The sequence below is a fragment of the Homo sapiens genome, chromosome 10, assembly GCF_000001405.40.
Source record: "Homo sapiens chromosome 10, GRCh38.p14 Primary Assembly".
NCBI classification, from domain to species: Eukaryota; Metazoa; Chordata; class Mammalia; order Primates; family Hominidae; genus Homo; species Homo sapiens.
Window position 1 is genome coordinate 110,018,910 of NC_000010.11, and position 25,948 is coordinate 110,044,857.

At 38.0% G+C, this 25,948-nt stretch overlaps 1 protein-coding gene across 24 annotated transcripts in view, besides 1 other annotated feature; it reads left to right on the top strand.

Annotated features, from left to right (window-relative positions):
* ADD3 (adducin 3) overlaps nucleotides 1-25,948 on the top strand; it is a 139,193-nt gene that overhangs the window by 22,537 nt on the left and 90,708 nt on the right. The gene's annotated exons all lie outside the window — the stretch shown is intronic.
* Nucleotides 13,242-13,536: a silencer, noted in NCBI's record as "tiled region #15659; HepG2 Repressive non-DNase unmatched - State 23:Low, and K562 Repressive non-DNase unmatched - State 7:EnhWF". NCBI's record gives its function as "represses a minimal TATA promoter and a strong SV40 promoter by Sharpr-MPRA in HepG2 and K562 cells {active_cell/tissue: HepG2 | K562}" and the evidence as "EXISTENCE:reporter gene assay evidence [ECO:0000049][PMID:27701403]".

The window sequence follows — 25,948 nt, forward strand, 5'->3', positions numbered from 1 at the left end:
TCCTGCTTTTATAGGAATATCCTTATACATCTGTTTTGAAGGCAGTAATGCTTAGGAAAGTTAGTATTAATAGAAAGACTTTAGGAATCCTCATCATTCCCAGCGCTGGACAAGGAAAGCCTCATTTTGGGGAAGAGATGTACGATTTTAAAAATCTGTATTTGTCCATCATTTACTTTGTTTGCCTAATGCTAGAGCATATTCTGTCAATGTCTGTTATATAACTTTTAAATCTAATATGTGGATGATGGATGGATGGAGTTGATACGAGATATGACCATTTCACTTAAAATTTTTGTAAAATAACATTGTCCGTTTTCAGATTTTAGATTTGTTCCAAAGTGTCTCAGTTCTCTCACTCAGACTTGTCATGTTTATCCCTTACTATTTGAAAAATTCTTACTGTAACTCTATTCAAGACATTTTGAGCAAGTAACTTTCTGTTTGCTTTTTTTTTTTTTTTGAGACGGAGTCTTGCTCTGTTGCCCAGGCTGGAGTGCAGTGGCGCCATCTCGGCTCACTGCAACCTCCACCTCCTGGGTTCACTCCATTCTCCTGCCTCAGCCTCCCGAGTAGCTGGGACTACAGGCACCCGCCACCACGCCCGGCTAATTTTTTGTATTTTTAGTGGAGACGGGTTTTCACCGTGTTAGCTAGGATGGTCTCCATCTCCTGACCTCATGATCCGCCCACCTCGGCCTCCCAAAGTGCTGGGATTACAGGCGTGAGCCACTGTGCCTGGCTAGTTTTCTTTTATATAAAATATGTGAGCCATTGGGATAAAGCATTTTTTTAAGATTCATCTGTGCTTGAAGGTGCTGTGATTATGCTTCTGAAGAAGCTGAATTCACCAGTTTGTAGGTTTACTTGGAGAGTGGCCAAGAAACCTATGATTGTACTGTGTGAAGATTCTGGGAATGGGGCTAATAGAAGATGAAGACCATGAAGGTCCTTGGCTCTATGTATATGTGGCACTTAAGAGAAGGACATCATTACCCCAGGAGCTTGTCAACTCCCAGAGTTTGTTGTCAGCTCTTCGGAAGCTAGAGCCTTTGGCAAAGGACAGATTCTTTCCAAAATACGTGAAATGAGCAAGGATAGCAACTTTTCCTAAAGCAAACTGTAGAAACATTGTGGTATCTTTTCCCATAAATGCTTTCCACTCTCATCTGAACTTTATTAGATGTAGTAATATTAGTTCCTCATACATATTTGTGACCTGTTTAGCCCTTATTTTTTTGAGCAGCTCGGTGCATCCTTTATTCATTTATTCATTCAACAAATATTTATTGAGCAATTATTATGTGTCAGGTTCCATTCTAAGTGCTGAGAATTTGGCAGTAAGCAAAACAGACAAGTCCTCCTGCCCTAATGCAGTTTATATTCTTGGAAGTCAATAGAAATAAAGTATGTGTTACGTTAGTGATAAATGTTATGGAGCAATATAGAGCAGGGAAGGGAAACTAAGGGAGTGTTTGGGCGTAATTGCAGACCTAAATAGAGCAGCCAGGAAAAGTCCTCACAGAGAAGGTGACCTTGAAGATGATGAGAGAGCATGCATGTGGATGTCTGCGGGGAAGAACATTGCAGGCAGAGGAAACAAGCCAAAGGCCCCGAGGCCCAAGCATAACTGGCATGGATGAAGCAGAACGTGGTGGGGATAATGGGAAGCCACTGGATAACTTCAAACAGAGGTGTGGCACCGTCTGACAGATGTTTAAAGGGTTTATTTTGGCTGTGTTTTGAGACTAGACCATAGTGAGCAAGTGTAGATGCAGGGAAACTACTTAGGAGGTCAATGCAATACTCTTGGTGAGAGATGATGTATCTGGTAGAGGTAGTGAGAATTGATTGGATTCTGGATATATTTTAAAGATAGAATCAATAGGATTTTCTTACTGAAATATGGGGGTATATGTTGAGAGAGAGGAGTCAAACTTGACACCAAGGTTTTGGGCCTAGGCAAAAGTCTAAGAAGGAGCAGTTTGGAGAATGGGAGAGAATAAGAGTTCAGTTTGAGACATTCATTTGAAATGTCTGTTAGACATCTATTTGCAAGTTGCTATGAGGAGAGATCAGTGCATAATTATAGGCCGACTATATAAACTTGTGAGTTGTCATTTTCCTCCTCCATTTTTTAAATGGTTGCATATTTAATCCCTTTGATGACTAGAATAAGCTTTGCTCTAATATGGGTTTGAAGTATTTCTATACATCTTTATGCTTTGAAGGGATTTAATGTATCTTATAAAACCTTGAATTTATTTTAACTGCTAAGGACACTTGGTCCTGAAGGAAACCATTTTCTCTAGGGATTGAACAACTTTATTTTAATCAAAATGTGAAAATAAAAATAGTGTTGTTACTGCCCTTTAAAAATGGAACAGTCTGGCTGTTCCTCAGAGTTAACGTGGTTAAAAATGGTAACGGTTTACGATCCAGCACTTCTCATAGGTATATACCCAAGAGAATTGAAAATGTGTTCCCACAAAAAAATTGTACACTAGTGACCATAGCAACATTATTCATAATAGCCCAAAAATGGAAACAACCCATATGCCTATCAACTGATAAATGGATAAACAAATGCGGTATCCATGCAGTGGGATATTATGCAGTCATAAAAAGGAATGAATTACTGATGCATTTTATATTATAAATGAACCTTGAAAACATGCTAAGTAAAAAAGCCAGATACACAAGGCCACATATTATATGGTTCCACTTACATGAAATGTCTAGAATAGACATTTATAGAGACAGAAGGGAGATTAGTGGTTGTCAGGAGCTGCAGGGAGGGGGAAATGGGGAGTGGCAGCTTAATGGGTACTGGGTTTCCTTTTGAAAAGGAAAGATGATGAAAAAGTTCTGGAGCTAGATAGTGGTGATGGTTGTGCAACATTGCGAATATACTGAAAACCACTGAAATGTACAATTATTAGTAAATTTTATGGTATATGAATTATGTCTCAAGTTTTTAAAAATACCAGGAAAAAAAATCTGTGCGTGCAAATTCAGATGTATGGAAGAATAACTAAAATAACTTATGTGGACCTTATTTCTAAAACAGAACTGTTTTCCCAGTAGAAAGTTGGATGAAACAAGAATTACCGCACTCAACCTGGTTTAGCCTGCTTTGCTTAAAGAGGCTAGGTTAAGATGCTTTTCTTGTCCAGGTAGAAATCAGGAGGTGGTTTGTGATACTTGATAACTCAGGGGTGAGTCTAATTTTTTTTTTAACACTTGATTTTGTCAGGGATGATCTAGAGAAGCTGAAGAAGCCTCTATGATGATCCTTTCCATGGGTTTCAGAGAGTTGGAACTGTCTTATGAATAAGTTTATTAGGTCTTAAGCAATAAAGATGGTCTACTTTTTTCTCCATATCTATAATTTTAAAATATGGAATAACCAATTCCCAATAATTTTTTTTAGCCAACCCAAAGTTATATTTACCTTCATAAAAAAAACAGAACCATCAAAGAGGATGATACTGGGTTGGCTAAAATATTTCTAAATTACCTTTCATATACCACTTATCGTAAAGTTATTTTTTTGAGGTATAATTCACATACCATAAAATTCACCTCCTAATTTTATTTCAAATATATATATTTATGTAATTTTCTTTATTAGAATGAAAACTTCTAGAAAACAGTGGTCCATATTATTTGAATGGCTGCATAGTCATAGCTTGATAAGTTTTCAGTATTTTAAAGGAAGCATATGTGAACCAGACAAAAACCTTAGTGGTGAAGATAGACATTTATGTAAGTAACAGACTCCAACACAAACCTGCGAGCTATACTATAGCAACAATTCAAAGGAAGTACAGGTGGGCACAGAGAAGGGAAATATCTCATTGGGGAGAAACAATTCAGGGAGGAGAGTGGCATTTGACTTGAGCTTTAGAGAATCCAGTAGCATTTCAAGCTGTTGGGGAGGAGGGTGAATTATAGGCCATAATACTAGAATATGCAAAGCCACGTAAGTCTGTGGGATGGTTATGATATGGGAGAGGAAGTAGGAATAGTGAGGTTGAGAGGACCAGATCATGCAGGCCCTGGGTGCTACTTTAAGAAATTTAGATTTTATTCTGTGGCACCTCTTTCAGTTGAGAAGAGGCATAATCAAATGTCTCTGAGATTTGGTTGTGTGAAGAAAGTCACGATGGAGAGAGAGTGTGTTGGCAAAGAGGTTAGGAGGCATTTAGAGATAAGCAAATGAACTAAGACCATGGCTTTGAGATTTGAAAGAGAATGGTATTTGGTGTGTGATGGTATTTGGAGGTGGGCCTTTGGGAAGTGATTATAAGGGATTAGTGCCCTTATAAAAGAGACCTCAGAGAGCTCCCTCACTCCTTCCTCCATGTGATGACAAGCAAGATGACAACTATCTGTGAACAAGGAAGCTGGCCTTTACCAGACACTGAGTCTGCCAGTGTCTTGATCTTAGACTTCCCAGGCTTCAGAACTGAGAGAAATAAATGTTTGTTGCTATATTATAAGCTACCCAGCCTATAGTATTCTATTATAGCAGCCTGAACAGACTAAGACAGGAAGGAATGGGACATTTTGGAGGCAGAAATCTGTGCAACTTGCTGAACAATGGAGAGGCTGAAGAAATATATAGTCACTGAGGGTCGAAATCTAAATGTGGCATTTGACTCCATTTCCAATACTCTGATTTATGACAGAGGAAAGAGAACACTTGTACTACTTAGAAATGAAGTAGATTCAGCAAGTCTTGAAGGTATATTTTTCTTCCCAAACATAAACATTTTAGAAACTTGACTAGTTCTTAATCTGCTTTACTGCTCAAGTGTTACCCAATCGTCCAGTCTTTAAATTTGTTTTCATTTATGAATTTGGAAGTGGTTGAATAGTCACCATTTTGGCTAAAGAATAGTCTTTTTGTTTACAAATGAAGGTGCTTCCCCTATGCTGTGTTTTTGCATTTAATTTTAAACTTTTGTGCATTGCATTATCCCAAGCAAATTAACACAGGAACAGAAAACCAAATACCACATGTTCTCACTTAAAGTGGGAGGTAAACATTGGGTACACGTGGACATAAAGACAGAACAGTCGACACTGGGGACTACTAGAGGCAGAAGAGAGGGAGGGGATAAGGGCTGAAAAACTGTCCAGCACAATGCTTACTTCCTGGGTGATAGGATCAATTGTACCCCAAACCTCAGCATCACACAATATACCCGTGTAATAAGCCTGCAGAGGTACACCCTGAATCTAAAATAAAAGTTGAAATTATAAACAGAACTTTTGTGCAATGGAATAACAAAAGAATTGAAGGCATTGGGCTTTGCAATATCAGGTATTGCATGTTGTCATTACAGGAAGTCATTGTGCCATCTTGGTTTCCCCTTAATAACATATGGTGGTTTATCTTGAAACTTCAAAAGTAAACATAGCGTAAGCACCTATAATAAATTATTGCCAAAAAAAATCACATGCAGAATTATTTTTGCTATGTGAATTTAGTGGAGAATCCAATCCAGTAAGACTTTTTGCACATTTGAATGGTGAAACAAGATGATTTGGCTCCTCTAGTAGCTTTGTTGCATGCACAGTTGACCATTTTTGTTTGTAGCTCCTTGTAATAAGATATTTAACACAGGGCTTTATATTGGGACATAGTGATTTTATAAATGGGTGGGAGAAAACACTGAATTTGACAGAACTAACTTCTAGATTATTTCAATGTAAAATTTTCATGCTTAAAATTTTTAAGTGTTAGATGTTTAAAATAACTTACTCAAAAGTAATTCTTAGTAAAATGAAAATCAGTGAAAAGCACTCAGTTTTTTAAAAGCAAGAATGATTTTATTGGTTTCAAAGTTAAACTTACTATTTGAATCAAATTTTTATAAAATCCATTTATTTTTTAAATACTTGAAATTTTGAGTAAGAAATATAAGGACATGGAACAAAATAAGGCACAAAAGCGTATACAGTGAAAAGTAAGTTGTCACCCCCAAACCACTCAAGTTTCCTCCTCTTTTCTTTTTTTTTTTTTTGGAGACAGAGTCTCACTCCATCACCCAGGCAGGAGTGCATTGGGTTCAAGTGGGTTCTTGTGCCTCAGCCTCCTGAATAGCTGGAGTTACAGGCGTGCGCCACCATGCCTGGCTAATTTTTTTGTATTTTTAATAGCGTCGGGGTTTTGCCATGTTGGCCAGGCTGCTCTTAAACTCCTGGCCTCAAGTGATCCACCCACCTCGGCCTCCCAAAGTGCTGGGATTACAGGTGTGAGCCACCGCACCTGGCTGTCATTTTATTAAAACGTTTCCTTTCCTAGCGTCCGTTCCACTAAGGCAGAGGTATAGAAAGTGGGAGGTGGTAGCTATAATAATCTTTCACTCATACTATAGTATAAATAATACTTTTTAAATTTAATAATACTAATTTAATTTAATATTTTTTTAATTTTAGTTCGATATTTGTGGGAGAGATGGGAATCTTCAGAGTGGTGGTAGCCAACTTCTGCCTCCATGGTTCAATTAAAAGCAAGTCCCCTAGTTAATAGAAGTAAGGGGTCTCTAGGCTTGCAAGTTTCTTCAGATGCTAAAATTATGCCTTTGTGTAAAATCAGACTTTCTGTTATATGAGTAGACGTAGGAATTCTCTGTATACTTTAAAGGAGAAGCAAATAGAAATAGAGAGGGTGATAAAATCTAGATTCATAGAATTGTGGAAACCTTACTTCATTTTAAGAGTGAAGAACCCAGTCTGATTAAAGGAAGTTCCGTGTTTAAGGCAACATGTTGCTTGTGGCAGATCTAGACTCAAAACTGAGATTCCTGCCTCTGTCCAGTGCTTTTTTCACTTCATTACATTACGAGCCATCTTAACTCCATTCATGCAATTCTGGGGTAAGGGGTTTTGTCAGAATTCCACCTGACCTTCCCTAGAGCAGGGTTTGGACAGGATGAGAGACCCCAATCTCTCAGATTTGAGGCTTCTTTTCAAGATATCTGTTTTTCCCTTTTCCTTAAAAAAGAAAAAAAAAATTTCATCGAATTTGGGAAAGTTTTGTGAAGTTTTTTCCAAAATCTGTAATGTGTCAGGATCTTTCTTGTTTTCTTAATAGAAGCCACACTGATATTATGTATATTGTTCCAATTTTAGTGTGCTCACCACTGAAGCAAGTCATGTACATGGTAAATGTTTCTGACATGTTTAGGAACATTATATAGAAAATTCAGAATGGATGTATTTGGCTGCCTTGACATTCCTTTTTCTTTTGGAAAGGAATGTATTTAAATGAGAAACAGTTCCACCCCTCCAATGAAAAGGAATAGTTTTAGGTCATTTGAGTGAAATAGATTATAGAACTTATGACCCCAGTTTTCTTGTTTTTTTTTTTTTTTTGAAACGGAGTTTCACTCTTGTTGCCCAGGCTAGAGTGCAGTGGCGTGATCTCGGCTCACTGCAACCTCAGCCTCCCGGTTCAAGCAATTCTCCTGCCTCAGCCTCCTGAGTAGCTGGGATTACAGGCACGTGCCACCACGCCTGGCTAATTTTGTATTTTTAGTAGAGATGGGGTGTCTCCATGTTGGTCAGGCTGGTCTTGAACTCCCGACCTCAGGTGATCCGCCCACCTCGGCCTCCCAAAGTGCTGGGATTACAGACGTGAGCCACCACACCCGGCTGATTGTACTTTTAAGTCAGTTTTAATAGGACCCAGGTACAAGGTCAAGGTACTTGAGAATTTTTGGATTTAATGTTTTACATTGGTTTAAACTGGTTGGAGTCTGGCTGTGTTTCCTGGTGACAATATTCATATTAAAAATCTTATAGGTCAGTTTTTATAAAAACTATGTAATATTTCTTTTAAGTTAATGATTGATTTTTTTTTTTTTTAACTTCTGGTGCCTTTGCCTGAGATTTTGGTTTGTAGAGAATAATATGTCAGTTAAGCAGAAATTTCAGTGACCTGAAAGTTTGGGTTCTTCATTTTAATGAGGGCCAAATGATTAAGAATACCATTGGATTTCAGTAATGTATTCGAAGTAGTATCTTCTGGCTGGGTCCCAAAATCATCAGATGCTAACTATACCTTTTCTAGTCTTCTGTACTTAGAATCAATATTTAGAATGAAGATCCTAATATCTTGCATAATTCTTAAACAGTAAAGATAAATATGTTCATGAAAGTATATGAAACCAAAAATTGGAAAGATGGCTTTTAAGATGGGGGAATGAGGTAGAAGACTACATTAGTTTGGCTTATTACTGTAAGAATTTGTTTGCCATTTCTGATGAGAGTAATAATGTGGGTTCCTCCCAAAATGTTTGTCTTTTAAGAGAAAATCTAGTGAGCTATCAAGAGTTGTAATCATAAGGATTAGGCCTTCTGTTCAGTGATGCCTTTTGTACAGGTTGAGTAGCTAGAACTACCTGCATGGTATAATTTGAAGTTTCATAGGAAGGCCCTGAAATAGTACTGTTCTCTCCACCCCAAAATGTGAGCCATATATGTAATTTAAAATGTTGTAGAAGCCACATTAAAAAATTTTTAAAGAAACGGGCGGGAAATTAGTTTCAATATATTTGATTTAACCTAATATATTTAAAATATAATTTCAACATGTAATCAGCATAAAAAATTTTTACTCAGTCCTGTCTATATTTTACACTTAGCACATCTTAATTCAGGCTAGCCACAGTTCAAGTTTTCAGTAGTCACATGTGACTAGTGGCTATCAAATTGGATAGCATATCCCTGGAACATCTTTCTCTTTTATCCCACCTCAGGTGAGAATTCCTCCACTAGCAGTTTTTCTAGGGGGACTAAAGTCTTGCCATTTCTTTGTATGCTCCCTCTATAATTGAAAGGAAAATGAGACACTTCAGAGAGAAAAAAAACACATTAAACCATTCCTGGGGCATGTTTTAACCATTTGTGCTTTATGTGATAACCAAAAGCTAGTACTACTGAAAAAGTGCAACTGTTACTGAATGAAAACTTCAGAGGGCAGGTTCAGTTGGTTATGCTTAAGTGAGAGGAGAGCTTGGGTAGAAAAGGTTGTGGGGGGAAGAAAAGTTGGGACAGGTTTTGACTTCAGATCTTAGAGTCCTGTTGGCCTTGAACAAGTTAGCTACCTTCTCTGAGCCTTTTTATTTGCTTCATACATAGAATTGGGGTTAAATACCTCTCAAGTTGCTATGAGGGTTATATGAGATGACATACGTAAAGTGTGTAATATGGATAATATTTGGTACATAGTAGGTGCTTAGTAAATATGTATTGAATAAATGCTTGCTGATTATTTACATCCCTGACCCCCATCTCCCCTTATGAGACAGGAAAAGAGAGGAGAAAAGCCTAAAATGAACGTAGAAGTATATTAAACAAACAGCCTGGCTGGGCGTGGTGGCTCACGCCTGTAATCCCAGCACTTTGGGAGGCTGAGGTGGGTGGATCACCTGAAGTCAGGAGTTCGAGACCAGCCTGGCCAACCTCATCCCTACTAAAAATACAAAAATTAGCTGGGCGTGGTGGCGGGCGCCTGTAATCCCAGCTACTCAGGAGGCCAAGGCAGGGAGAATTGCTTGAACCCAGGAGGCGGAGGTTGCAGTGAGCCGACATCATGCCATTGCACTCCAGCCTGGGCGACAGAGTGAGATTCCGTCTCAAAACAAAAGAAAAAATAAATAGCCCATTTACAAAATTGACTGGGACTTAGTGTTTGACCTGAGCAAATGAGTCTCTAAGCATTGTGGTTGAGATTTTAATTCAGTACTTTTATCTGAAAAGTTCAGAAAATAATGATGTAGAATCATTCATACTCTGCATTGTTTAAATAGAAAGAAATGAGTTTTGCTAATTTTATTTCCATGTACTTATACCATTAATAGCATTAGTAAATGTTTCTGAATTTGTTTCAGTTAAGAGAAAAATCACAATTAACTCTCGTCTTTCCCTACATATGATACAAATTCATCACTTTCCTTTTTTTTTTTTTTTGAAACGGAGTTTTGCTCTTGTTGCCCAGGCTGGAGTGCAATGGCACGATCTCGGCTCACCGCAACCTCCGCCTCCCGGGTTCAAGCAGTTCTCATGCCTCAGCCTCCCGAGTAGCTGGGATTACAGGCATGTGTCACCATGCCCAGCTACTTTTGTATTTTTAGTAGAGACAGGGTTTCTCCATGTTGGTCAGGCTAGTCTCGAACTCCCCACCTCAGGTGATCCGCCTGCCTCGGCCTCCCAAAGTGCTGAGATTATCGGCGTGAGCCACCGTGCCTGGCTCACTTTCCATTTCTTCAAAAGTTTTATCACAGTAGTTATTGCAGTTTGGAATGTAGACATTTTATGTCTACTTTGCAAGTTTAATATACAGAGTAATAGATTGTCGTGATGATTATAAACTTGTAGTAATTGGAACTAAGGAAAACATCTCTAAATGGAAGAAAACAGCCACTTGGTGACTATACTTCTTGTTATAATGCAAATGGCATATTGTTCTTCTTCCGGCATTAACATTAATTTGTACTTTCTATGACATTAGCTGTATAACAATGTGTTCTGAATCTGTTAAGGAGAAGTCCTCCTATACGTATCATATTTCTGATTTGCTATATATTTTGAGATATTTATTTGAAAATTTGAAATACTGAAAAGTGGGAAAGCATGGAGAGTTCTGAATAGATGATTAGATAAGGGCTTTCCAAAGCTTTAAGCTCACCAATGTGTAGGCCTCATCTGTGGTAATGTTCTTGGAAATCAGTCACATTTGAAAAATCCAGTTTTCTTGCCAGTAGCATCTGGTTGCACTTTATTTACTTTGAAAGTATTTTTTGAATTGCAAAAAAGCAAACCATATGACAAGACTTTTCTTACCTGATTGAAAGTTGCTTACGGTTTAGTTGAATTTTTAACAAACTTAACTAAAGGTATGATTGTCCAAATGCATGGAATATCCTGACAAATCAGATATAAAGAATTTTTAAAGTTATTATTGGCCTTTAAAAATTGCCCAGACTCGTACTTTATTTACTTTATTTTAGTAACACTCTTAAGGAGTCTTATTTATTAAAAGTTCTTTCAGGTTTGTGGAATTTTGATGATAGCTGACCTGACTGGAATGTACTCTACTAAAAGAAAGTGATGATGGCTGGGCACGGTGGCTCACACCTGTAATCCCAGCACTTTGGGAGGCCGAGGTGGGCGGATCACCTGAGGTCGGGAGTTCGAGACCAGCCTGACCAACATGGAGAAACCTCATCTCTACTAAAAATACAAAATTAGCCGGGCATGGTGGCACATGCTTGTAATCCCAGCTACTAGGGAGGCTGAGGCAGGAGAATCACTTGAACCCAGGAGGCGGAGGTTGCGGTGAGCCAAGATCGCACCATTGCACTCCAGCCTGGGCAATAAGAGCGAAACTCCATCTTAAAAAAAAAAAAAAAAGAAAGTGGTGATTATTATGTGATTGGCATTTCTCCACCAATTTCTGAAACCTTCTGACAGCTGTTACTAGTTATATACTTGTGTATATGTTTGACAAACTGACTGTGAGCTTTTAATATACAGGTGTTTTATAGTAATCTAAGCAACTGGATTCCCTTGGTAACCTAGAGATTTGTGAGATGATTTTAGGTGGCATGGATCTAGGCTAACCTGTGAAATGGGTATTAGGGTAGATTCTTTGGAATGGGCCCAGGCTTGGTGCCAGAATTATAGAGTTCCACTGACATTATGGTAACCACTAGCTGTGTGTGGCTGTTTATCGCTTGAAATGTGGCTAGTCCTAATTGAGATGTGCTGCAATTATAAAAATATACAGATTTCAAAGACCTAGTACAAGAAAAAGAACATAAAATAACTTTTTTTAATATATTGATTACATTGGCTACAGCTATTCCAGCTGACTTGGCTCGTCCAATTTGTATTACAGTGCTGTTTTGAGAGCTATTGCCTACAAGCAACCTCTACTCCTTCTCTAACTCTCCCATTGATGAAGTTTAAAAAACGAAACCAAACCACTTGCTCCACCCACTATCTTTAATGGTTGGTGACTCCTGACCAGCTTCTTGAAAACAGGTGATAAAAATAAATTTGTAAGTCCAGGCACGGTGGCTCACGCCTGTAATCCCAGCACTTTGGGAGACCGAGGCAGGTGGATCACCTGAGGTCGGGAGTTCGAGACCAGCTGACTAACATGAGGAAACACTGTCTCTACTAAAACTACAAAATTAGCTGGGCGTTGTGGCGCATGCCTGTAGTCCTAGCTACTCGGGAGACTGAGGCAGGAGAATCCCTTGAACCCGGAGGGGGAGGTTGCAGTGAGCTGAGATTGTGCCATTGCACTCCAGCCTGGGCAACAAGAGCAAAACTCTGTCCCTCAAAAAATCAAAATAAAAAATAAATTTATGGCTACTATCCATTGGGCACCTGCCATGTGCAAGGTACAGTGCTAGGTACTTTAGGTAAAATCATGAATCCTCACATCAGTTCCACCGGATTTATATTCTAAATTACGAAGAAACAGATTCAGATACATTGTGACTTTGCTCTGGGTAAGTGGCAACTAGTAGGTGGCAGAATGGAATTCCAACCTAAGCCAGCCTGGTTCTAGAACCAGTGTTCTTTCAGCTGTATTATACTCCCCTATGTTTTCATTTCCATGTGTGTCCTTTAACATGAAGCGGAGTACTGTTTATAAAGGAGTTTCTTGGCAAATGGTGTTGACTGATCAGTACTTAGGATCCTTAAGTTGTTTTCCTTTGTCTTGGTGGATGACTTTAATGCGCCACCCTCCTACCCTATCTGGTACCTAGTGAGTGGCCTAGATGTTAATGAAGAGACATGAGCTATTTTTTTTTTTTAAGTAACTTTTAAAAATTGACAAAAGTTACATGTATGTATTATCTAAAACATGATTTGGAATACGTATACATTTAGAACATAAGGTTTTAGAATATGATTTATGAGAATGCATAAATCAGTCTAATTGACATATGTATTACCTCAATACTTTTTTTTTTTTGTGATAACATTTAAAGTTTCCCCTCTTAGCAACTTCAAAGAGATTTAATCTTATTGGCAGCCAGTTGAACGGTATAGATCAAGCCTATGACTTTCTCACCTGGAAAATCAGTCACAAAAAATGTTTCAGATGCCTTCAGGAAGAGATACAAGAAGAGTCTCCTTTGCTAAATGCCAGGAATATCAAATCTTGGACTTCAGAGACTGGCCATATAAGGAAAGAGATTTTTATAGACAAAGAGGGTTGAAGTAAAATAATGGGATAGAATAAGCATATTAAGCTGGATAAGTGTTATGTAATCCTAGGTCATCTCTTAATGGCCATGTCCTTGACATTGTTGCATTAAGAATGAGAGCTCGGAGAAATAGTCCATGTGTTGGCATGCTAGTCTCTAAGTTAGAATAGATGTGATCACAAATCATGAGTGCTCTTAAAGGGTGGATCCTGCATTCACTCATCCACTTCTGCCTTCATTCAGGCTCAAGCAAGTGGTGGTGACTTTGGAAAGATAAGGAGAGAAAAGGAAGGACAAAAAAGGAAAAAGGGAGTAAAACCAGACTGGGGAAGTGGGCAGCAGGGATACTTGGGCAAATTCAGAGTGCATAGTATTTGTACATGTACATGCATATTGTATTTATAATACTAAGAGCTATGTAAACTGTAAAATACTATTTCAGGAAAGAGTATAGTATGCTAGAAAGAGAATTTCTGACTAGGTGGTGTGGATTCAGCTTTCTCAGCTCTACCATTACCCTAAGTGTGTAACCTTATGAAAGTGTTAGAATCTGAAATAATCGCTATTCTATTAATACTTCTCTGGCTTTCCTTCCTGATTAAGATCATGCTAAGTTTGAAAACACTTTGTGCGTGCTCATATGCTGTATACATGTTGTTATTGTTTTTATACTGTTAATTATTTCTCTTCATCTAAAGTATTGCCTACCAGAAACTTTATCGAGAGGAAAAAATTTGTACCCAAGAACACACACATTATGATTAAGAGAAGTTAGAGTTAAATTAAATAGCCAATTTAAATAGAGCCAATTTGGCTCTCATCCCTAGGCTTTATAAAAGAGACAGTGGCAGCCTTGTGGGTGAGGGGAATGTGGACCTAATTACTCATTTAATTTAATCATTCATCCCTTTAACTCCTTTAAAACCTGACTTTTATAGGTCGATTATATAATGTGTGTGAGCACAGTGTTTCTCTTTGAATGAAAAACCCTGTTGAATGGCTTTACAAAAAGAAGATTTTGATATATTCATAGTAATAAACTTGGTTTGCATTTCTCTGAGGCTTATGGTCTTCAACTTCTGACCAAGTTAGTGAAGGGCTGCTATAACTACCAGATGGCAGTCTTTTCTGATCCAGTGTTAGATGCCAACAGACTAATAGCAGAATAGATGTAAGCAGAATTCAAGCACAGCATTTGAAGTATTGTTTAAATTGGTCATCTAGCAAATTTAATATAAAGAGGATAAAGAGAATATGTTCATGTCGCCATACAATTGTTTGGTTCTCAGGGCAGTCCCAGAATGCATCTTTAGTTTGTGTTCCATGTAAAATGCAGGGTACAGGGATATTTTGCCAAGTGCTGGTTTGAAATTTACTTGGGATCCATCCAGCTGGCAGATCAGCTGTGCTAATCAGATGGGCCCGTTTCTGGGGAATGGGATTTCATAGAGGGAGCAGTGTTCTTGAAGTATAGTTACTTAAAAACCAGTTAATTTTTAATTTAAAAATTCTCATAAGTGCTATATTAAAATGTATATAGTGCAAGTATTATGTATATAGTGCAAATACTTTGTGCATTCTTGTAAATAATAAATAGGGACAATAAAGTCATTGTGCTATACTCAGCTGCCTTTAATTTCTATTTTGAATCTCTGGGACCGTAATTTGCTAGTTGCCTGCAGTGTTTATTAGGATTAACTCATCTGCATTTCCCACTAATGTAGATCATTAGTTCTAAGAGATTTCTCAGGATAAATAGTGCCAAATATGTTTGGGAAACTACTTTCTGTACCATCTCTTAAAGGTTTATATTGTACCTTAGCATAGCAAAGACTGAGAAGTACAGCAATTAAGTACAGGGTTTGCTTTGTTTTGTTAAAACTCAGTGTGTCTCAAGTATGTCACTAGACCACAGAAATCAGTCTCTAGTTCCATCCCGTGGAGCTCCTGTTTCTTAGAACACTCTTAGGGAAAACACTGCCCTTAAGTTATGAGTTAACAAATCTCTAGAGTTTATTTTTTTGATTACATTTTGGAACTACTACAATTAAAATTTGTAGTTACAAATATCTCAGCCTAGGGGATATAATGCTTTTGTTTTAAAAATCAGTATTCATAAGGTCATTTTACATAGAAATGTTAATTTCTATGGGGTATGTCTTTGAATTGATATTGACATATATCTTGGGACATTTTGGTATTTTGTAAATATAATTTTCCTTTTGTTTCAAAAAATTACATTTTTTGATAAACAAGATAATTTCTTTAGCAAGTATTTTATAATTTAAAATTATATTTTTTCATTAATAAAATAAAATATAATTATTTTAAATTCAACTGTAAGATAAATGTTTTAGTAGCAATTAAACTAGTCTGTAATTCTCATTTGAGCTGAAAGGAAAACCAAAGATTTCAATAGTCCAAGATACTGCCATGTAATCAGTTATTAAATGGGGCTTTGAGACTCTCAACCTAGACAATCATACTCTAAAGATAAGCAAATTACTTACGTATACCAGTCTACTGTTTATATTCTCTAATCTGAATATAAAGGGTTTTAAACATTTCTTTGCTTTCCATGAATTCCTTAAAAATGACATCTGAGAATGTTTTTTAAAAAATGTTATATCTAAATGTGGATCTTGAATCATCCCCAGGTTGTAAAACAGGAAAGTTGTGTCGTTTTGTGAGTAATAGGAAATACTAAGTATAGACAAGCTTCTAAGTGTAAGCCAATGCATACATTAAGTAAATTAAACCAAAAAAGATTAACCAGCCATGTTTCAGGTTTTGGAACATGTAATGTATAAATGTAACCTACTAGAAAAATAGTTCTTTGCCATTAACCCTCAAACCAAATCATGAGACAATTTTTTCAGTTGCATTTGGAAGACCATGTTTGTTAGCTTTGGCTTACCATTTGCTGAATAAATAAAAATGGCATGTTTAATGCTAAGTAGTATTTATAACCAGACCATCAAACACCAAGTGGAATTCTGAGGGAGGGATTCTTTCATATTGAAATATAAAATAAACGTTTTGTCCTTAGGGTTTCATTAGATGGTACAAGATCTGTAAGGTAATGAGCTCATCCATTTCTCATCATTATGTCAGCGCCCCCTTGCTGCTATACCTTCATTGATATTCCCTTTCCACCCTCTGCTCTATCACCAACCCCATCTATCTGCATCCCATGTTTTAAAGAAATTACAGGTAAAGGGAATAAACTCACTAGAACAGCCTTTATTCTGAAGAATATTGCTTGGTGAGGAAGCCTAATGATTAGAGTGATAACTGACTCCATCAGGAAGCGAAGCAACTTCCCATCAGCAGAAGTGCCATTAAAAGCTCTAAATCCAAGCTAGACTTGCTGACTAAACAGAAATTGCACTTGTGGCGCTTTGTCAGCTGCCTGTAGTTTGACCCTCTCTCTTTTCTACTACCAGTAATAGTATGAATCCTTTTAGACTAGTGGTACTCAGACTTTAGCATGCATTGGAAGCACCTGGAGGGCTTGTTAAACCATAAATTGCTAGGCCACACCCCATACTTTGATTCTTTAAGTCTGAAGTAAGGCCCGGTAATTTGCATTCTCACACGTTACCAGGTGTTACTATTGGTTTGAGACTCAGTGTTTTTTTAGGCTAAGAATTGTCTTTGAATTTTCTCTTTTCCTGTCTCTTATGCCACCACTGTCCCCATCGAAGCCTATCATCTGCCAGGCGCGGTGGCTCATGCCTGTAATCCCAACACTTTGGGAGGCTGAAGCGGCAGATCACCTGAGGTCAGGAGTTCGAGACCAGCCTGGTCAACATGATGAAACTCGTCTCTACTAAAAATACAAAAAATGAGCCAGGTGTGGTGGCAGATGCCTGTAATCCCAGCTACTCGGGAGGCTGAGGCAGGAGAATCGCTTGAACTCGGGAGGCGGGGGTTACAGTGAGCCGAGGTCATGCCACTGCACTCCAGCGTGGGCAACAGAACGAGACTCCATCTCAAAAAAACAAACAAAAAACCTGTCATCTGTTGTGGACTGTCCTGGAAGCTCTTTTCTTATTAGCTTTTCCTATATTGGTTTCATCTATAGTGAGGCAGCATTTTACCATGGAGTCCAGTTTCATTATTATAACTTAGAATATCTTTACCAGTTTTGGAATTGTTCATACCTTCTCCAAGTTATATTTCTCATGTGATAATCCCCTTACATAGTTTAGAAAGTGTCTTTTTTTTTTTTTTTTTTTTCTTGAGACGAGTCTTGCTCTGTCGCCCGGGCTGGAGTGCAGTGGCGTGGTCTCAGCTCACTGCAAGCCCCGCTTCCCAGGTTCATGCCATTCTCCTGCCTCAGCCTCCCAAGTAGCTGGGACTATAGGCGCCTGCCACCACGCCTGGCTAATTTTTGTATTTTTAGTAGAGACGGGGTTTCACCGTAAGGATGGTCTCTATCTACTGTCCTCATGATCCGCCCGCCTTGGCCTCCCAAAGTGCTGGGATTACAGGCGTGAGCCACCACGCCCAGCCTTCTTTTTTTTTTTAAATGATCACATTTCAATATCTAAGTAGATACTTTCACTCTCTGAGGTATTGTCATATATGTAATCTTCTAAATATATATTGGCTGTTTAAGGCATGGGGATAGCATTTCATAGAGGAGTGTGCAGGTCATTCCCCAGCAGTAGAAAATAGTGTTATGACTAGCCTTCTGGAGTTAGATATTAGGTGAGGAGAAAGATCTTTTGCATATTCCTCTTGAAGCAGCCACTGCTTTAGCCACAAAAAATACAGCCTCTTTTTACCTGGGACACGGTTAACTAGACTAGTGCTTTTTGCTTCCCATAAGTGGTCAGGTTCTAATTTCTGAGGGTAAGAGATGGGTTTTCTAGGATATGGAGCATTCTGGGAGGACTAGGTATATCATAAGAAAGAAAATACTAGTTGGAAAGAATTGACCATAGACCTCAGAGGTTTTCTAGTTCAGCTTTCTCATTTTATATGATAGGAAATGGAACATTTCCTGGACTTGCCTAAAGTTTTACAGCCAGTTAAACACACATCAGTCGACCTCTGTTTCAGTCTTACCATGGGTTCCTACTGTTCTTTAATACTGGCATGAAATTTTGTGACACAGTCACGTAGTGACTAGCCACACAGTTCAGCTTCTTAAGTTGTATAGACCAGGCAGGTGACTCAACGCCTATAATCCCAGCACTTTGGGAGGCCGAGGCAGGCGGATCACTTGAGGTCAGGAATTTGAGACCAGCCTGGCCAACATGGTGAAACCCCGTCTCTACTGAAAATATAAAAACTAGCCAGGCGTGGTGGTGGGCACCTGTAGTCCCAGCTGCTTGGAAAGCTGAGGCAGGAGAATCACTTGAATCTAGGAGACGGAGGTTGCAGTGAGCCGAGATCTCGCCACTGCCCTCTAGCCTGGGCGACAGGGCAAGACTCAGTCTCAAAAAAAAAAAAAAAAAAAAGTTAACTATATAATATTTATTTCAAAAGTCATGTTTTGGTGATTTTAAATTTAAAGGACACTGCCATATCATAACATACACTGCATTCAGCACTATTTTTATGTATGTTTGTTTCTGATTGTAAAAACAGCATAAACTCATAAGATATTTGGAAAATACAGGCTGGGCGCTGTGGCTCAAGCCTGTAATCCCAGCACTTTGGGAGGCTGAGGCAGGCGGATCACCTGAGGTTGGGAGTTTGAAACCAGCCAGATCAACATGGAGAAACCCCGTCTCTACTAAAAAATAGAAAATTAGCTGGGTGTGTGGTGGCACATGCCTGTAATCCCAGCTACTTGGGAGGCTGAGGCAGGAGAATCGCTTGAACCCGGGAGGTGGAGGTTGTGGTGAGCCGAAATGGTGCCATTGCACTCCAGCCTGGGCAACAAGAGTAAAACTCCGTCTCAAAAAAAAAAAAAAAAAAAAAAAAGATATTTGGAAAATACAGCAACAAATTGGTAGATAAAAATTAGCAGTAAACCACCACCCAGAGATAGCCTCTTATATTAAGGTAGGTTATCTATGCTTTATTAACATCTCCAGAATTCAGTGACTTATTTTCCACTTACATGTAGTTCAGTGTGGACTAGGTGGGGGTAGAAGAGGGTTTGTGTAACCAGGCTAATTCATCTGGTGGCCCCCATCCCCCAGAGCCTTTGAATTCTGCCCTGCATCTTGGATCTTTTGCAGCCAGCCTGTAAGGAAGGAGAGACCTTGGAAGAATCCATAGTAGGTTTTAAGAACTAGAGCTCAAATCTGGGACAGCAGCGTAAAAACAATTTTGTATGCTGTTTTATTAAAACATATGTTTAACATTTGTCCTTAATCATTAAGTACTATTAGAATATTATGCAGCCCTTACAATCTGTCTTATTATTAACTGTTCTTTTTAAACAGATATAAAAGCCTGTCTACTATAAAAGGACTCTTTTAGCTGCTCTTTAAAAGCACGTTGTCTTGATGCACTGTTTCTTAAGGGTCACACATATACATATATATGTTAAAATGTTTGTATTCATTGACTCGATAATTCTCCAAAGAATTTACCTACAGAGTCCAAATGTGAAAAGTTAAATGCATAAGGATGAAAATTATGTTTGTAAACTAGTAAAGACTAGAAAAAACTGGACATGTTTGAAAGAGACTGGTCAAATAAGTGTTAGTAACTACACACATTATACAACATTAGCATATAACACAGCCATTAACAATGATGTTTATTTGCTTAGAAAGATGTTACAGTAAATTATGGGCTATAATATGTGTAATATGAAAAAGTTGATTGCATGAATGTACATGTATATGTGAATAGATACCTTTATGTGTGTTTGGAGGGTATTACCACAGTGTTTCCTAGCGATTATTTCTGTGTTGGCAGATTTGTGGTGATTTTTAACTTTTCAGAAACTCTTCAGAAATGTTTCTGTAGTTTTTAATTGTAACGACTTATATTTAAGCCCACTCTGGCCAGACCCTCTCCCTTACCTTGCACATTGCTTCTGGTATTGAGCCTTCCTAACTCTTCTCCTTCCAGAGTAATCATGTTGTTGCTTGCCCCACTCAGTCAGTCCGCTACCACCTCCTCCCATCCTTTAAGACCTTCTGACTTAAAAGTTCTCCTACCCCAATTTAAGCATTCAGGAACTGATTGGAGAAGAGCTTGAATTGGTGAAGTTAAAAAAAAAAAAGTGTTCAGGGCTGTAATTTAGGTGGAGGGACTAATGAGGAAGGAGGAGTGTGGCCCTGACCTTGAGGCATGATGCAGTGGCAGAGAGTCCCAGCCACCTGGATATAATCTAGGAGGATTGTCTTTTGAAGTTAATGCTAATTATGTATATGAAAGTGAAGCTATTACAAACTGCTGAAGTTATTTCCAGTAGGAAAGCATACAGTGAGCACCCTGTTTAAAGAAAAAAGCAAAACCATAAAATACTGTATTAGTTATCTATTGCTACATAACAAATTACCCCCAAACTAAGCAGCTTCAGACAACAAACATTATCTCACAGTTTCTGTGGAGCAGGAATCCAAGAGCAGCTTTGCTGGGTTCTGGCTCAGGATGTTTTATGATGTTGCAGTCAAGCTGCTGGCTTGGGTCTTCAGTCATTTCAAGGCTTGACTGAGGCTAGAGAAGCTGCCTCTAACTTCGCTCTTGGTTGTTAGCAATGCCATAGTTCCTCATGAGCTTATGGTGGAGAGCTTCAGTTCCTTGCTAAGCAAGCCTCATCACAGGGTCATCTGAGTGTTCTTAAGATGTGGCAGCAGGCTTCCCTTGGAACAAGTAGAAGGATGGGGAGGACCCAAGATGGAAGCCAGTTTTTAAAATAATCTCATCTTGTGAACATACCACCACTTCTGCCCCTATTGCTGTTGCTCTCTCAGACCAACTGTGATACAGCGTGAGAAGGGACTACACATGGTTGTGAATACCAGGAGGATGGGATGGTTAGGGACTTCTTAGAGGTTGCCTGCTGCAAATACTCATGCTGTTAGGTAAATCGTTAGGAAAGTTATTATTATTTTTTTTTTTCAGATTTCCAGTCTTTACCTCATAAAGATATGTTAGACATTGCTAGTTTGAATGAGGTTTGGGTGAGAATATACTTAGTGGAACATGTGATGCAGCTTTCTTATCAACTTAGTGGAGATAGATTATGTAAAACCTTTGCCAAGACTGGAAGGTGATTAATAGGCCAGCTTACCTGAAACATGATTGAACAGATTGACACTGGCAGGATCACACAGCACAAATTTAGTTTGGCCAATTAATATATGTACCCAGTAATTTTTGATGATTATCATCCATAATTAGGAGTACTTAATTGCATATTTAAGTACTCATTATTCCATTGCAGTATAAAGCAGATAGTTTTATAGCAAAGATTATGCCGTGGAGACATATACATACCATGTTGTGGAATTTGGGCTTTTTTCTGTGGGAAATAGGGAGCCAAAGAAGGATTTATAAGAAGTGGATTGATGTGGTCAGATTTGTGTTTTAAAAATCTTCCTTTGGCAACAGTATTGAGAGTGGACTGAGAGAAGGTTGAAGGTAAAGAGATTACTAAAGTATGCCAGGAGAGAGAGAGTGCCTGAACTAAATCAGTGGACTCGGATAGAGAGGAAGAGACTTTTCCTGAAAGGAAAAATGGTAAAACAGAAGGAATGATGGAGTTTGAAGGTCAGGTTAAAGAAGTGCCTAATTTCTGGCATGGAGAAAGAAAACTGGAAAAAAGAACTTGCACGCACGCGCTCTCTCTCTCTCGCTCTCTCTCTCTCTCGCTCTCTCTGTCTCTCTCTGTCTCTCTCTCTCTCTCTCTCTCCGTGTGTCTGTCTCTCTGTCCCTCTCTGTCTCACTCATGCTGTATCTCTTGCTCATGCTGTGTCTCTCACTATCTCCCTCGCTGTCTCTCTGTCTTTGGAAGAATATGTGGGTGATAAGAGTTTGATTTTTCAACATTTGAAGATTGAGATACTTGAACAGCAGACCACAGCAGGAGATTTTAAGTAGGTAGTTGAACATAGAGATCTGGAGCACAAGCTAGAAGTTTGACAGGACTGTAAATAACAGATCTGTGAATTAATAACAGGAGAATTGAGAGTTGAAGTTGTGGGAGGCAGATGAGGTTTTCCAAGGTGAATGTGCAGAGTGAGAGAAGTACACCAGGGATGGAACTCTGTTGAATACCAAGGTATAAAATCATCCTTTTTATAGCCACAATCCAGACTAAGAAAATGCCAGTGTAGGGATCCATTTCAATCCCGGCCCTGCTTGAGGTTACATTGAATAAGGTATCAGACCCCTTTGTGACTTCAAATAAATGGTTTAACATCTCTAAGCCTAAGTTTCCTCATCTGTAAAACGAAAGGGTTGGTTCAAATCAGCAGTTCTCAAGCTTTTTTCTTCTAGATTATGTGTGATATAGGATGTTCACACTCACATTTCCACAGACGTGCTTAGAATTATGGGCAATTTCCACTGCTCTGGTTCTCTGTCATACAAGAAATGCAAGATTGTGAGAACTAAGCTGTTATAACAGTAACCTTGGGCCTCCTCTGTTATATGTTTAAAAAGCAACTAGTTCAGAAATTTTCGTACTGAATCAACAAGAAGTTACTTGCAATAGATACCTGACAGCTGATAGGCATGTAGCAACAAAATCATTACTTAAAACTCCCAGGCTAGTTATATTACTTTTAAAATTCTTTTGGGATCACAGACCCCCTGTAAGAACTAATGAAGGCCATGGATTCTCCCCCCAAAAAATATGTGGATAATTTTTTTATATTTGAGAGAATTCAAATAAAATATTCTAAAGTTGGTAGCGTCTCTTGGGATCCGTGACCCTGTATTAAGAAATTCCTTTTCCAGATAAAAATCCCCTTCTGGAAGATTTTATGACTTTATTTGTTGTAAAAGGAGAAGCATATTTCTTTGGAAATAAACTTTGTGATTAGATCTTTGTAGGTAAGTATTTCTATAGTAGTTTTAATTTTTAAATACTGTTGTTTGAGCTTGCCATAATTAGAAGACAGCCACCTATTCTGTGGATAAACTAGTGCCACTTTAAGAAAAGGTGATTTGGAGCACAATTATATTAGAATAACTACTAGCTATTTTAAATATTCTGTTCTATACTACTTGGGTGAGGGGAGGGTGTCAGCGAAGGCAGTGGTAGTAAGGCAGCCAGGAGGTGACAAAGAGTCCAGGCATTCAGGGGGCTTTCCTGGGGCAAGTAAAGCCTTTCTTGTTCGTGTTTGTCGGTCAGTCTTGCTCAAGTGACTTAGAGGTGTCTGGAAGTGTATGTTCAGTGAGCTGAGAAATAATCTTAAATCTTTTTACCAAAAAAACAACACTCATGATTTTTAAAATAAATTTATTTCAATTATAATAATACTATCTTTAATCAGGAAATAGTCTAATAACATGGAATGTGGATTTTGGTGTTATCTAGAAGAAGAATTAGCACACTAATAAAATATTAATAGTCTTATTATTGATAACTGAGTTTTGTCTGGTGCTGTTTTTTTTTTTTTTTCCATCAGTTTTTTTACTTCTTAGGCTTGGGAACCAAATCGAATTCTCCTGGTAATTACAAATAAGTACTGCTTCAATTTCTATCATCCAGTTATTTCATGAGAAAGTTTACAGTAATGGTAAAGCAGTTTGATTTTGTTCTTTGTCTAAAGTACACCCATACCAAGATAATTTAAATTAATTTTTATTCAAAGTAGTTATTAAAACTTTGAGGGGAAAACATAGAATGCATATTTTTCTACTTCAGAGTTTCGGTGGGTCATATTTAATATTTTTAAATAATGATCACGTATTTCAGCTTTTCAGCAAATGGCATGCACTGGCCTAGTAATGATTAATCTTGGCTCAATGATCAAGAATGTTGACTTTGAAAACTTACTTGCAGGCTGTGGAATAGCCTACAGAGGACATAGTAATTTTGTTTGTGTTTCAATTATGTCCTGAAGATCTTGGTGTGTGTGGTTGTTGGGCCAGCCCAGTTTTCATTTGAACGGCTTGGCCTTTACAGGTGGACTTCTCTTCCAAATGAGTATTTCTTTTAACTTGCATCCGAATTAATGTTCTTTAGAGAAATCTATAACTTAAATAAAGAAATTGACCTCCTCCCAGGTTTCTTTTTTTTAAACAAATCCTATTTATTTTTTAAGTATGGCTGATCTTTTTTTGTATGACTTTCTATCTTTACTACGAAAGTTGCATTTGGATGTTTCTAGATATTTCACTCACCTATTTGCTGTTATTCCATTTTTAGGGTTAACTTAGCAGCCTGCTGCTTTATTTTTATTTTTTTAACCAAGGATGAATAGCTTGGTAAGAATGATATAGTAAAATGAACATGTATTTCTTAGGGAGAGGGATCACTATTGGAGCCACATTTTTTCCACTGCATAAGTTCTCCTAAGAGTAGATTGGGAAATTGTAAAAGCTATGTTAGTCTCTTGAAACTAAGATATTATTTTCAAATTATTGCATCAGGGCTCTAAATTCTTCATTCAATAAATATTTTAATTCTTGCTGATAAACACTATGGGGGATACAATGATAAATCAGAAATAGATTCTTTTCTCAAGGAATATCTAGTCAATGGAGAAGATACACTGTGTGGTTAAATAACTACAGTAAAAAGTACAGATTAAGAGCTGTGGTAGCTCAAAGGAAATACTATTTTTGGGTTGAGAGGAGTGAAAATTAGGGGAGATATGAGCCTTATAAAATTTGTTGAACAGGCCGGGTGCGGTGGCTCACGCCTGTAATCCCAGCACTTTGGGAGGCTGAGGTGGGCGGATCACGAGGTCAAGAGTTCAAGACCAGTCTGACCAATATGGTGAAACCCTGTCTCTAAAATACAAAAATTATGCAGGCATGGTGACACACGCCTGTAGTCCCAGCTACTCGGGAGGCTGAGGCATGAGATCGCTTGAACCTGGGAGGCGGAGGTTGCAGTGAGCCAAGATCATGCCCCTGAACTCCGTCCTGGGTGACAGAGCGAGACTCTGTCTCAAAAAACAGAAAACAAAATTCTGTTGAACATCTAGAAAAAGGAAACTTCTGATTCTATAAATGAAACTTTATAGATTGATTATATTAGGACAGCTTATGTGAGAATTTGTCGCTTTATATTATTGTGTCTTCTGGCCTATTAGACCATTGGCTCCTTGACAGTGAGAATCATATATTTTTATCTTTGTGTTTCTAGAACTTCATACTTAATTGATGCTTATCATATGATTTTTGAGAGATGAATCAACTAGGAACCTAGAATTTTCCATACAAAATCAGACAAGCACTTCATGTATTCTTTGTTTAATGTAACATAGGTGCTGCCTTCTGTACATTAGCTTCAAAATGTTAAAAATATTCATAGAACATCCACAGCTGATAAGTAACACCAATGAAATTTTTATTTCAGATACAGTTAGTGATGTAATGGGGAGGAGAACAAATATATTCCTTCAAAATAAAATTGTAGACTAAAGAAGTAATAGGTGTCAAAAGAGGAGGTAGCAGAGAGTCTTTAGATTTCTCCCATGAGATTCAATTAATAAGACCCTTTTAATTCAAAATGAAGCTATGTGATTTATACTTTGGGACTAGGTAACTGTATGACCTTATCAAATGCTGTTTCTAAAAGTGCTATACTCATAGTAAAACTATGT